The following is a 15,733-nucleotide window of genomic DNA, read 5'->3' on the forward strand; positions in this document are numbered from 1 at the left end:
TGGAAGGTACAATCTTTGTGGCGTGATTAGGTTATGAGGATATAGCCCTCAGGAAAAGGATTGGTGCCCTTATAAGAGACTCTAGGAAGCTCATGAGCCTCTTTCACCATGGAGGACATGGAGAAAACAATGACCATCTATGAACCAAGAAATAGGCCCTCACCAGACACCAAATCATCTGATGCCTTGATCTTGAACTTTTCTGCCACCAGAACTGTGAGAGATAAATTTCTCTCATTTATAAGCAACCCAGTTTATGGTATTCTGCTGCAGCACCACAAACAGACTAAGAGAGACATTGTAATTCCAGTCAGCAAAAATTATCCTATGCTAGAAAAAATGAAATACTAGTTGTTTTCAAAACAATTCATTAAAGCTATGTAAAATGCATCTCACTAACGTAGTCAAGTTATATTTTTTAGAGATATAATCTCTACAAAACGAGGTAACAGTCTAATAACAAATAAAATAAAAACATTTGGGCTGATTTAGGTTTCAACTCTTACATTCCTTTGATATTTGAGGTTAAGTATTGTTTTAAAGAAACTTATGAACAAAATAATAATACTAAAGGATATGTTTAGCTTCTTCTTTCTCTCTCTTTCCCTGTAATGGCATTGGTTTTGAACAAACCTGCATTGTGTTGGGACTGAACTACCATAGCTTATTTTCATAAGGTCACATACCTAGCAAGAATCTGATCACATTTTTATCTATAAAATGTAGTAAACTATTGCATATTTTTATCTATAAAGTGTACTACATAAAATGTAGTACACTATTACACATTTTTATCTATAAAATGTAGTACACTATTTAAAGAATGTAGTGTTAATGCTTATCCTAAGACTTTATAATTGTGCCAGGCAATAAATAAACCAGGATGCATGTTAGAGAGAGCATCAGTGAACTGTTTCTAGCCTATTGTTCCCACTTTGGACATTGTCAAGTCTTAGATTGGTTCCACCTCTGTCCCTTTTTGGAGATTTTATTTTATTTTTCTTTCAACTTCGAAAACTCATGACTCCTCTACTTTTTGTAGGTACAAATTGTAAGTGAAAATTTCCTTAATAGAAAACAAATTCTCCTACTGCCTAGAGGGAGCATTCAAGCCTGGAAGGGACCTCAAAGGTCATCTAATCTAGGTTCATGTGAATGCTTCAGTTCTTTCTACAGTATACCTGCCAAATTGTGCTCAAGCCACTGTTTGAATGCCATCAGTGACAGGGCACTTCACAGCTGCAGAGGCAGTCCCTTCCCCTACTGTCAACCTTGGGTTAGACATGTAATCTGCTTTGGAGACTAAATATATATACATATTTGTAATTTCTACTAGTTTCTAATTCTACCCATTATCTCAGGGCTGTGATGAGTATGTCTAACCCTCTGACCTGAACTCCATGAGCTATCTCAAGACATGTTTGTATGTAGCTCTTATTCCCTTGTACGAGCAGCGGCACTGATAATTATGACTGGCCAAGAAGCCATGGCTTATGCATAGTTCTTGATGTGTGAAGATTTTTGGGTGGGGGGAGTTGGAAAGGAATCTCTGAGAAATGGGAGGGAAACATGGGGGCATTAGCTACTTGGAAAAGGTACCATGAGGATGAATAAAAGGGAATGGAGCCTGCTAGTTGGGAAATTGAGAAGTTTAAACGCATACTTGGCTGACATCTCAGGCTGCCTAAGAGTGTCTATAGAATTTATCATGATAAAGTGATATTTTCTTAATCTCCTCTTTTAATTAAAAAAAACAAAATATACTATTAGAGTTCAAAGTAAAATCAACTATAATTAAAAAGTGGCTATCAGGCCAATATGCCACTGCCATGTGTCCCAAAAAGCATGTGTTGGAAATGCAATCCCCAATGCAACAGTGTTGGGAGGTGGAGTCAAATGGGAGGTGATTAGGCTATGACAGGTCCACCCTCATAAAATGGACTAATGCTGTTTTTAAGGGAGGGGATTCATTATAAAAGGGCAAGTTTGGTCCCTTTTTCTCTCTTCTCTTACTTTCCCTTTGACTTCATGAGATAATGCAGCAATAAGGTTCTTGCCAGATGCAGCCTCTTGATCTTGAAATTCCATCATCCAGAACCATCAGCCAATACATTTCTGTTCATTATAAATTTCCCAGTCTGCAGTATTCTGTTATAGCAGCACAAAATGAACTAAGGCAGTCTTCATGATAGTTTAGCGCTTAAGGTAGTAGATTCTGGGGTCAGACTACTGCAGTTCAAACCCAAAATGTATTGTAAAGACTCTTTGATCTGTGGATCTCAATCTCCTTATTTATATAAGAAGTGAGTTAATATATTCACTCTGTATTTATTTATTTCAACATTATTTTATGTCATCTATAAGGCAGGTATACTTCTTGGTATCATCAAATCATTTGAAGGAAGGAGAAATTTGTTTTTGAATATTAGAATAAATGATGTAATGTTATACTTCTTCATGATATTGTTTGGTCAATAATTTCAATAACTTTATATTAAACTACAGATTTGGGGAGTAAAGTTAACTGGCTCTAAAATTTTAAATGGGTTAATTTAGTCAACAGACTGTGGCTCTAGCAAAGTATCAGTACATTTTAGTTAGGAAGAAAACATAGAGAAGTATTTTGTGAGTGTAAATTTTGTGAGTGTCATTTTTTCACTAGGCTATCAAATTTTTAATACAATGGAATGTCAATTTTTTTTTCTTTTTCTTTTTTCTTCTTTTTTTGAGACAGAGTCTCGCTCTGTCACCCAGGCTGGAGTGCAGTGGCGCGATCTCGGCCCACTGCAAGCTCCGCTTTCCAGGTTCACGCCATTCTCCTGCCTCAGCCTCCCGAGGAGCTGGAACTACAGGCACCTGCAACCACGCCCGGCTAATTTTTTTGTATTTTTAGTAGAGACGGGGTTTCACCGTGTTAGCCAGGATGGTCTGGATCTCCTGACCTCGTGATCCGCCCGCCTCGGCCTCCCAAAGTGCTGGGGTTATAGGCGTGAGCCACCGTCCCCGGCCTGGAATGTCAAATATATTTTAAGAAAAAAATACTATTGAACTTAAACGGATTGAAATACATAAAGTAAATAGTTTTTACCTTTATTACTAAGATCTTTTATTTCAATTGCAATGAGGTTCTAATCCCAATTGACTATATGTTGAAGTCTTCACTTCTCTTCATAGAATCACTGCTCTGGTTGTACATGTCCTAAGCAATTAACGTGGAGTTAACCTTATGCAGTGGGCTTGATGGAGATCTGAAAAAAGTTTCCCAGCCAAGATAAGTGGACATTCTGCCAGACAACCCAGTAGTAATGTGTTGGTCCTTCTCAACATATTATCTCTCAAAAGATAGTAAAGAGAAATATAGCTTATTACTGATGCGGCTTGTAAGTAAATTATAAACTGTTTCTTCATGCTGGAGAAAGACAATGGTTCTCTGGTTGATGCTCAAGGTCTCTCAATAATATGTTGCTCCTCTTTCTCACTCCTCACCTCATGAAATCTTTTTATCCAACCTAGGACTGTACACACACACACACACACACACACACACACAGAACTCATATTTTTTCTCTCATAATTTGGCTTTGGAATATTAAATTTAAGTATCCCGTTGCATTGATTTTTTTTATGTCCACAATATTGCACCTAGTATTAATTGCTTAAAAGATATGTATACTTTACTTCTTTCTTATAATGGAACTTCAATAAAATTGAAGGTGACAATTTTCCAGTTAAGACAGTATTTCACCTCTTCAGATTTCCTTGTTGTTAAGACTGGCTTTATGTTTCAAATATAGCCAATAAAACATAAGTAGAAATCAACTTGGTGGGGCTTCCAGTTAAGCTATTATTTCCCTGACTGAAAACAAAAAACAAAAAGAACAATTTGACATGGCTTTTCTGTCTTTCTTTCCTTCTTCCTGCCTTGGACACTAATATTCCTGCATGTAGAGTGCTCTTGCCTGATTATGAAAATGAACAAATAATAAGAATAGAGCAACAGAAAGCTGAAATGAATCTTAATCTTTGGCAATTCTTTTGGACAACTTCTTGAGTGCCATGTTGGGACTCTATGCCTCAACAGTTCTTTTTACATGGTAAAAAGGAGACCCCAGCCATTTTCAAACTCTAAATTAGGTTTAAAAGCAGTCCTCTTCTTCAGAAAATATAAGGAGATCCACGTGTGGCCATTTGGGTTGTAGTTGGTGGAGGTGGGGAGGTAATAGGGATAATCCCAAAGTATAATTGAAGTAACTCGATAGTAGGAGCAGTATTACTGCAAATGATATTTTAAAATATTCTCCTGTAACATATGCAGATAGCCTAGAAGAGTGCTTATCACACAATAATAATTTCACAAGTTGGAGTTAATTCATTATGTTTGAACTAAGAAATTTATGGTTCCTGACTCCAATTCCAATGTACTTTTTATTATACCACTATGTGGGTCAGTAACTCAAGGACCAGTGAGAATATAAAACCAGCAATTCGGCAATTCACTACATGAATATTGTCTGTATACCTCCCTTGGGAGAAAGTCCAGAACATAGCTACTGGATTGTAAAATAGTCTATGACTCTTCATTGGAACTTTATTTGCATCTTCCATAACTTTTGGTTGTTGTCATTTTTCTAGCCACAAACTTATTTGTCAGTGTTATGAAGTCAATTGACTTTTTCTAGAATAATTTTTCTAAATGCACAAAATGATATGCATAGAGTTAAATAAAATAAAATGATATGGTTTGGCTATGTCCTCACCCAAATCTCATCTTGAATTGTAATCCTCATAATCCCCCCCTTGTCGAAGGAGGGACCTGGTGGGAGGTGATTGGATCATAGGGGCGATTTCCTGCGTGCTGTTTTCATGATAGTGAATGTGTTCTCATGAGATCTGATGGTTTTATAAGTGTTTGACAGTTCCTTCCTCACATGCTCACACTCTCTCCTGCTGCCTTGTAAAGAAGGTAACTACTTTTCTTTCTGCCATGTTTGTAAGTTTCCTGAGACCTCCCAGCCATGCAGGACTGTGAGTTAATTAAGCATCTTTCCTTTATAAATTACCCAGTCTTGGGTATTTCTTCACAGCAGCGTGAAAACAGGCTAATACATCAAAAAATTAAATGCAGGTATAAAAACATCTGTGATCTAAAATTGTATAAATTGCTTCTTCCTAGAGTTGTAGGCCTCATGGCCTGACAATTTTGGAAAACGTGGTTCTGTTAATAATGGGTTATTGCCATTGTGATATAAGACAATGTTAAAGAAGAGAAACAAATATCTGGCATTAAACTAGAGGATGTCCTTTGTTCAGCCTCTGGTGATGAAGGGCTAAATTGTTTTGATAGTTACCAGTGCTGAGATGGATTTTCATATGCACCACCCACACATACACACAAATAAACATAAAGTAACATGTGAAGCTGACATCAAGGCCATTATCAGGTGTCTTGCACTTCTCAGAATGTAGCTAGCAGGAGGACTGTGAAATTATATGATGATGAAGCAAACTGTGTGTGTAGAGTAGAGTTTTGTGGGTTGTCAGAGGGAATGGGTCACTCCAGTAATCAAACTGAGATTAAGAGGCTTTATGAAGGAGTAGGGAAAGAGAAGTCATCAAATATGGGGGAGAGGAAAAGGCATGAAATAATTCATGGATCTATTTATAGGCATTCTAATTGCTACTAATTGCAAATGAAAGCTAAGGGTTTTCAAAGAGTTGGAACTGGCATCAGGTAAAATATAACTTTATTTTATAATAAGTCTGTAGTCATTTATCCAATGAAGTCACTTTATAATATTTATCATTTCTCTTATTATCAATGTTAATTTTATTTTATGTGCAACACACATACATATGTATAATCACTTAAAGGCAAAAAACACTTTTCCTATGCAATGTATATAATTATTATCTAACAAATGGCTGATGGATTGTGCTGAATTCCTTATTGGTCCCTTTATGCTTTCTTGACAGTGAAGAAAATCAAAACTCATAAAGAGAGTAAAATACCTCCCTACTCTAAAAAAATGTTTTTCCTCCACTCCTCCCTCTCTGCTATAAGTGTTATTTGAACCATGTTTGGACTAGCTGCACTCGAATGTGTCTGAATGCTTTTATATTTCAGGTTACGTACATATTCACAAGGTGACAATCTGTAAGAAATAATTTGTGCATTTTTTTTACAGCACACATAAAATATGCCAATTTCTTTTTGACCTAAGGACCAATGGGTTGTACAGCTTTCAACCTTGTCAGACTCTTCGTTGCCTGGGGAAACGCCACATCTTATCTTTAACTCTGGCTGTAACTTTTGTTCCAGCTGGAAGCTGACCTTACTTCTTATTGTTTTCTTTTCCATTTGTATGGCTTCCAGAATGCAGTCCTGAAAGTCAGTCCTGGATAGTTGCTTTCAAACCCATTTTTCTTTTTGGTAATATTTTGGCAAAGGATTAAACTAGTACATCATTCAGGGACCTGTCCAGCCAACCCAGACATGGGTCAGTGGAGACAATAGCAGTGTTCACAACTATCCTATCAGGGTTTATGTATCTAACTTTGTACAAACATACTCATGTCAGTGTATGTGGCTTTGATCTTGATTGCACCTTGTGACAAGAACACTGTATAACTGTTAGAGAATGTCTGACAATGTTCCTACGAGTTTGTCATGCTGAACACTTGATAATATTGATGATTTAAGAAGATGCAAAGTTGTACTAGGACCATTCAGTAATATTGTAAAAAGTAAGTTTAGTAGGCTAAAATTTTTGTGGCATATATTACAAATCATTTGGGAAGTTGGGAAGATATATTACATCTTTCAAATCCAATTTGGGAAATAGGATCAATCTGAACATTTGATTCCATGCAGTCATATTGTTAGGTTCCTTTCAACTTTAAATGACTTAGAAACTCATTTGCTGTTTTTCAATGCTCAAAGTAGAAAGCATTTTTAGTTAATGAAATAGCATTGATATATCTCAACTAAAAAGTAACAACGAGTTGATTAACAAAATACAGAAAATTACACACTGCCTCTAAATCAAAGCATATATGGCATTAACAATAGAAATGAGTTTTCTCATGTAAGACTATCATTGTTTATTTAAATGTGAGCTGAAATAAATATAGTTTTTCCAAAAGACATGCCAAATACAGCTATAGTGTTTACAAATTGCTCCCAATAGCTTAAATGAATTTAAGTTAAAAGGTTTCTGTTTACATTTTGACAAAACCAAAAACAGTGATGTTCAGTTTTGATTAACCCCTCAAATCTAAGTCATTATGCATATCATTGCTAGGATTCTTGCAAAACATGTTTACATCACCATATCATATTAGTGTTAAAACTTCATGAATCATGAATGTGAGGATAGGTGTTTGAAGCCGAATGGAGAAGAGTTCTTAGATGTTATATGTTTAAAATAATCAGAAATATTATATGAATTCTGTTTTATTAAAATCATTCAACAGACATGATTGAGCAGCAATCAATTGGCAGGTTCTGTTATAGATAAGTGAGATACAATTTCTGGCCACAATGTATCTAAAACCCACTGGAATAAATCTGTGCAAGAGCAATTGAAAATAATATAAGTGCTATAATGGAAGTTTTTATGGGTTCTCAAAGAAGGAGCACTAGAAAGAATGAACTGAAGATAGTAGTGAGAGAGGAGATGAGGGATGAAACCAATATTGAAAAAAACCTAAAGATTTAGAAAAGGGTTAGGGCAGCAGAGTGATTGGCTCTAATTCATGAAGTGCCATGACACTGGTGATTGGAAGAGCAGTTGTAAAAGGAAGAACAGAGGCTGCATCTGCCATTTCGTAAAAGTGACCTTGGAAGCAACCCCTTGAGATTTCTCATCTGTAAATAGAGGCTGATTCATTTATTTTAAGAATCAAATAAGATAGTTAAAATTAATTACCTGGCATAAATCTTAACACATGGTATATTAGTCCATTCTCACATTGCTATAAGGAAATGTGGGTAATTTTGAGACTGGGTAATTTATAAACGAAGGAGGTTTAATTGACTTACAGTTCCTCATGGCTGGGGAGGCCTCAGGAAACTTAATCATGGTGAAAGGTGAAGGGGAAGCAAGGCACCTTTATCACAAGGCAGCAGGAAGGAGATTGACCAGAGGAGGAACTTACCAAACACTTATAAAATCATCAGATCTCATGAGATCTCACTGTCACAAGAACAGCTTGGGGGAAACTGCTCCCATTATTCAATTACCTCCACCTGGTCTCTCTCTTGACACGTGGGGATTATGAGCATTATGGGGATTATAATTCAAGATGAGATTTTTGCTTGGAGACACAACCAAACCATATCACATGGTAAAAAGTAAATATATTTCTGTTTCTTTCTTTTACCTTTGAACATGGGAACAAATAAGGCTTCAGATGATGATAGTCACCAACTGTGGAATCTTCCAAATGAGCTAAGTAAGAATTCAGATATCGTGGAGTAGAGACACATCATTCCTGCTTTGCCCTGTTCAAACTTCTGACGCTCAGAGTCCAGGAGCATAGTAAATGGTTGTTTAATACCATATGTTTTAGGTAACTTGTTTTCCACCATTAGATAACTAGAACACTCCCCTGATCTAAACCATAAACCTAAGCCTGGATCTATCAGCAGTGTCCAGAAATGTATAGGATCATTCACTGTGAATATAAATTTGTAAGTGTAGTCTTTGAGCTAGGATGGGAAATATGGGGTGCCTAAAAGCAAATGATTGAAATATTTACTAAAAGTCTCAGATCAATACAAAGACGTAATGCCAGGATTTGGGGGAAAAAAAGGCATGATCCAGAGAGGAGAAGTCTCAGAGTCAGTGCAGTGAGACTAAGATATTAAAATAACTAGAATCGTAAGTGTGTGAGTTCAGAGAATGGAATATTAAAGATTAAGACTTAGTGAAGTAATTTTACTTAATGGAAAGTTTTCTTCATAAGGTGGTGTGATGTTGACTCAGTTGAAGTTTATAAGGAGTTTCAAATACATTAGAAAAAAGTTGTTGAAGAAAAGGGTATTATTAGCAATGCAGATTTTGTGATAGCATTTATTATTTTTCACAGTAAGAATAATGATAACATATCACCCTTAATTCTTTGCCATAGTCAAAACTGTTCAGCAGAACATTGTTCCTTCTTTGTTGTTCAAAAATAATTGAGATGAAAAAACAGAAACAGTGCCACCAGCATCAGTCTCCTGTCATGATAATCAACTATAGCACATCAGGGAGTAGTAACCAATGGCATGTTCTTAAAATAATGATTCTTATCGTCTGCCTTTAGCATGAAGGAAACAAGGCACAAATAGCTGCTATGTACAATGCTGACCTAAGTGAGCTATTTAACAACCTGTACTATGAGTGCCAGCTAATTTTCAGTCTATGCATTATGAAGAAAACACAATTTACCACAAAATATACCATATAGTAGCAAATGTTACTTTTTTTCTTTTTCTTTTTTTTTTTTCAATATCAATCAAGGTACAATGCTTCAGGGGAAAATTATCTAGCAACAATAGAAAGGTACCAGCCATAGAAGATAGCTGAATCTGGTTGCCCGTGTTTGTAGTATATAAGAACAGACGGATATTTAAAAAAAAGGTAGAGGGCAATTCAGGGAAAAAGAAATAATGTTAACCATGAGAATGAGATGATCCCAAAGGAGGAATGGATGATTGAAGACAAAGTTCACAAGGAAGCCTTGTGAAGCGAGTATTCTCATGTCAGTGAGTGAAGAATACTGGAAATGAAGTTAGAGAACACTGAGCTGAAGAATTTAATAGGAGAGAATTATAAATGTGATCCTCAGTCATCTCATGAGGAATGTAATCCAGCTGCAAAAGCTAAGCCTGCTGTGTGTAGTCAAGAAGACCATGGAGAATAATCTTCAGAATAAGAAATTGTGGATGAAGGTTAATGTGATCCATAATACATAAACCTCCAATATCCAAATAATTACTTTCAAACTGAAGTAGATCTCTTAGACATGATTCTAAGGAAATTTGTAACCCATAAGAAGAGATAGTATAAAATGAGATGTAACAGGAAGAACTAGCACAATATTTCAGTGGATAATATGTCAAAAGAGACTAAAAATTTTTAAAATAAATAAGAGTTTGTAGAACTTCCAAGAATTGGCCATGCCCTCAGCTTACTTTTAAGACTGGTTAAAAGTGAGTCTAAAACACTCAGATTGAAGATCTGTGATTCTGTCATACTGCCATACCATAAAGATCAGTGCCTTAAACTTAGAGAAACCCAACGGCCAATGAGATTATCTTAAGATATCTGCCCAATAGGAGCAGACCATATTGAATGATACCTAATTGATCTAATTAATTTCTCTCAAATGATGTTACATAACATGACATCAATAAATAAAGACTCATAATAACATAGATATGGTAGTAGAAACAAAATGTATAGCTATACAGAGACAGAAAATAAAAGAAACAGAAATTGAAAAATGAGAGAAATCCAGAGATGGACTGAGTCAAAAGAAAGTAGTTACTGGAATAAGAGCACACCAACTTTCTAGCAAAAGACCTCATGTCCAGGCACCTGCATGGCCATTTGGAAATTAGGGCTGCCATTATTTCCAAAATGATAATCTGTGCCATGAGCAGGCTATGGGGGTGAGTGTGTGGGTGTAAACAGGAACACAATTAGGTTTCTTATACAAAACTCTATAATTTCTGAGATAAAGTCTGTAAATATTGATAGATAATTATAGAGAAAAGTAAAGCAAATTCTTCAATATTGATATTAATGGTGACAAGTATTAGGCCAGGTAATAGGCAATATTCTCTCTTTATAACTGTATAGTCTGTTGGATTGTCAGTGTAAGTCAACAGTATGGTTCATGGTAGGAAACAAGTCCTTGTTAAACACCTGAATTTCCAAGGGCAAGATGCCCCAAAATTATGCAGATTGGATTCTATGCAGATGACAACTATACAGCTGTTTTCTGCAAAACACAATTGCCTAATTAATGAGTGGCTTGTACCCTTTGCCCAATCAGTCAACGTTAGTTCCAAGAAAATATGAAGATTTTTGGAAAAATGTGTCATTTAAAGTATATTTATGTTTATAAAAATTATAGGCTTCGCCGGGTGTGGTGGCTCAGGCTTGTAATCTCAGCACTTTAGGTGGCCGAGGTGGGTGGATCACCTGAGGTCAGGAGTTCGAGACCAGCCTAGCCAACATGGTGAAACCCTGTCCGTACTAAAAATAGAAAAATTAGCTAGGTGTAGTGGTGGGCACCGGTGATCACAGCTACTCGGGAGGCTGAGGCAAGAGAATCACTTGAACCTGGGAGGTGGAAGTTACAGTGAGCTGAGATCATGCCACTGCACTCCAGCCTGGGCGACAAGAGTGAGATTCCATCTCAAAAAAAAAAAAAAAAAAAAAAAAAATTATAGCCTTAATTTTTAACAACAGTGTGATGGTTAAATAAATTATAGGCAAATGATAAATTTTATATGCTAAATTGTTTTTTAAGAATATGCATTGAAAATGGTATTATGTTCACAATATAATAAGTGAAAATAATGGAATTAAAATTATTTGTATCATTTTATTAAAATTTTGTAAATATTGAGATATACTTGTAGAAAAATATACAAAGCAAATGTATCAACATTGGTATTAATGGTAATAAGTCCTGGGCCAGATAATAGGCAATTTTCTTTCTTTGTATCGTATGTGTTTTCTTAAACACCTTCTGTAAAAAAGTCACTTGAAACTGAACATGGAGGAGAGGAAGACAATGTCTTTCTTAAAGTTCACATCTTTAGTACTTTAAGAAGTTCTTGCTCACTTACAGCAGAAATATTAATTTCCATCTGTCCTCATTTTAGGATAATGTGTCCCAAACCAAAGTACTGTTATAAGAGCTCCTCCCAGTTCTGCTAGATGGCCAGTTGGCCACTGTAGTTTTCAGAATAATCTAGGTTTCTTACAGAAACCTTGAAGTGGAGGCCAGGGATTTAACAGGTAGGGTATCAAAATTTTCTCAAGGTGTTAATATTAATTGAAGGTAAGAATGTTGGCAGACAAAGCACATATTGAACACAATTTCCATTCACATGAAGAGGGATAAATAACATTCTCTTCCACATCACCATCATCTCTCACCTGAAATAATCTCCTAACTGGACTCAGCTTTCACCTTTGGACCCCTGTAGTCTGTCTTAACATGAAACCCAGAGTGATCCTTCTCAATAGTAAGGATTATTTAACTCTCTACTCCAAACTCTACAAAGGTTTCCCATTGCCCTGAGAATAAAAGCATCAATGCTGCCAACAACACTTTATGTGATCTGACACTTCTTCCTTTTCTGAACCATAACCCACCTCTTACTTCTTTTTTAAAATCTTTACTTATGTATTTATTTTTTTTCAATAGCTTCAAGGGTACAAATGGTTTTTGGTTACAGGGATGACTTGTATAGTAGTGAAGTCTGAGGTAATGTACATTGTATCCAATATGTAGTTTTTTTATCCCTCACCCTACCGCCCTCCCACTCTGAGTCTTTAATGTCCATTATACCATTCTGTATTCCTTTGCATACCCATAGCTTAGCTCCAAATTATGTGAGAACATAAAGTATCTGGTGTTTCATTCCTGAATTACTTAGAACAATGGCCTGCAGTTCCATCCAAGTTGCTGCAAAATTCATAGTTTCATTCTTTTTTTTTTTTAATTATACTTTAAGTTTTAGGGTACATGTGCACATTGTGCAGGTTAGTTACATATGTATACATGTGCCATGCTGGTGCGCTGCATCCACTAACTCGTCATCTAGCATTAGGTATATCTCCCGATGCTATCCCTACCCTCTCCCCCCAACCCACAACAGTCCCCAGAGTGTGATATTCCCCTTCCTGTGTCCATGTGATCTCATTGTTCAATTCCCACGTATGAGTGAGAATATGCGGTGTTTGGTTTTTTGTTCTTTCGATAGTTTACTGAGAATGATGATTTCCAATTTCATCCATGTCCCTTGAATAGTATTCGTATTCCATGATGTATATATACTGCTTTCTGTATCCACTCATTGCTTGATGGGCACTTAGTTGGTTCCATATCTTTGCAATTGTGAATTGTGCTGTGATAAACATATATGGGCAGTCCACCCCTCTTTTCTTTGTTCACAGCATTCAAGACATCTGGGGTCCTCACTGCTCCTTGAGCACAGTAGCAAACTTCTACATTAAGACCCCACCCCGGTTGTTCTTTCTCTGCCTAGAATTCTCTTTAGTAAGATACCTGTGTGGCTGAGGCTCCATCTCCCAGCTTTGCTTAAATGTTATCCTTTCCATGAGGCTTTCAGTGGTAAGCACTTTGAAATTATAATAAGCACTTCATATACTCCTCATTCCCATTACCCTTTTCATTTCCTTTTTCTATAGAATTTAACATGCCTTAATATTCAAAATAATTTGCTTTTTTTATTATGTCTACTATTTACTGTTCATCTTTACCTGCTAGAATATAACCTTGCCAAGGCAATGGTCTTTGCGTGTTTTAATCACCAGTGTATCTCAAGTATATCAGAATTCCACGAATATGGTAGATTCTTAAGAAATAGTTAATGAATAAAGAGTAAATAGACAAATGCACATTTTCTTGATGCTAAAAAAAAGAAAAAATAATAAATTCATTAAACAAAATGAAACTAGCAGGCATAATTTCCCCAACAATATATTCACAGCTTTTTAACTAAATGTGTTATCACTTAATATGAGAGGTTATTGTTGATAGCCTGGAAATTCCATTACAACTTTCTGTAAGAAATAATTTTTATAGCAGAATCAGCTGGATAACACAAAAAATTTGTGCTCCCCCTGGCAGTTGCAAGGAGGAAATGGCCTAACAAGGGACTACATTTCTCTGCCATGTAACCAGTTCTTACCAGTGGAATTTGAGTAAAAATAATGTATATCACTTCCAAATCAAGGTGGTTAAGTAAAGGTGCCTATTTCCAAACCATCTCTACTGGTTTTTTTTTTGTCTGCTGAAAGTAGAGAAATTTGTGACACTAGAGAATAGTACATCACAATATGGAAAAATCCTGCATCCATGAAACACTATGTGGAGGAAAACCACTTGCCAAACATCAATAACTGCATTTGACTGCTACATGAGTGACGAATAGACGTTTATTGTGTAAAATAATTGAAATTTGTCAATTTATTTGATATAGCAGCTTAAATGCAAGTCCCAAAGAGAATTTAGTTAAGGGCTAAAGTTTGGCATCATAATTTGCATATGGTTACAACTACAGAATTATTGGTTTTATAGAACTATGTGACTCAAGTGCCTAGTCATGAATACCTAATTTCCCAGGATGAACCCTCACTGCTCAGTGACATTTGTAGTGCCAAACAGTTGAGAAAGCTGTTCATAAGAACAGGATACATAGAAAGTCTGATTTTGCAGTGAAACTTTATTTGGGATGTAAGTATAAGGAAAATAAATGCGATAGATACAGTAAATGAGCATGGTGAGTTGGAAGTCCTGATCAAGGATTAAACCACATTTATACACATGAGGGATTAGTAAAGGAATACATAAAAATTTATGGTGTGAAAGAAGGCGTTCTAGGTTATGATTGTGAAGATAGAATGGTTCCATGTTACTCACTGTGTTGGAAGAAAGTGATATGTCATTAAGATTGGTGACATTAAAAAGAGAAAAATATTGTGTTTCAGGAGTAAAGTGGATCTTTACTAGAGATGTTGCAATTTTTGAGGAGAGGAAAAGCTTCTTTTTACAGTGAAGTAATTTCAAGGATTGAAATTGGCTTGGGATGGCAGAGGTTTGTGATAGTGATGATTAGAAAATATGTAGAATTCAGTGACGTAGAATTTGAGAGGAAAGAAGTAAAGGGAAGAAGGAAAATAAATAAGTGCCAATTTGTCTGTAGAACCAGAAGTAATTAAGTTCTTGATTTCCTCAACTGAGGGAGATTAAAATTAAGGTTTTTATGAGATAAAATATCTTCAGTTTACAGATAAATTTCAATACATACAATACAATGAATGTATCATCACAATATGCTTTTGCTTTAATCATTCATTGGACCATGTCTCCAATGCACCTTGATTTCTAACAAATAACATCTACTGTGTCTGGTTGTAAATAAATGCTTACTTATGTCTCTCACACTGGTCTGTGAGAGCCTTCTGTAAATAAAAGATACTTATTGTGCATTTATTATAAACAAATCAATAAATAAATTAGAAGATGCATGGATAGGTGAGTGCCTTTCAGAATATGCACAAAATGGACAGATACCAGTCTGAGATGAATATAAAGAGAATTCAAAACCTATTATCAGACTCTCGTTGGGGTCTTCTCACTTTCTGAGTTTCAGAGTTTCAAAAGAAACCACAAGAGCTCTTTCCTCTTGCAGAAGTATGAATGCTTTTTCTGGATACAGTCTTTATGCTTAAGGAAGCTTACAACCTTTTAAAGAGGGAGAGTATTCCAGGGACAGAAATTAATTTGAATGAAAACCTGGAGATATCAGAACTATTTATAATTTAAGAAGGTGAAAAATGTAGAATCACATAGTCACAAATTATTATGGTAGAAATATTTATAGATTAAAGTCTGAAGATATCAGTTCTAGATCATATGACACCAAGTAATTATAATGACACTCACAATTTAGAGCTTACATGTTTTCAAAAAAATGATA

The sequence above is a fragment of the Homo sapiens genome, chromosome 18 (genome assembly GCF_000001405.40).
Source record: "Homo sapiens chromosome 18, GRCh38.p14 Primary Assembly".
Classification (NCBI taxonomy): domain Eukaryota; kingdom Metazoa; phylum Chordata; class Mammalia; order Primates; family Hominidae; genus Homo; species Homo sapiens.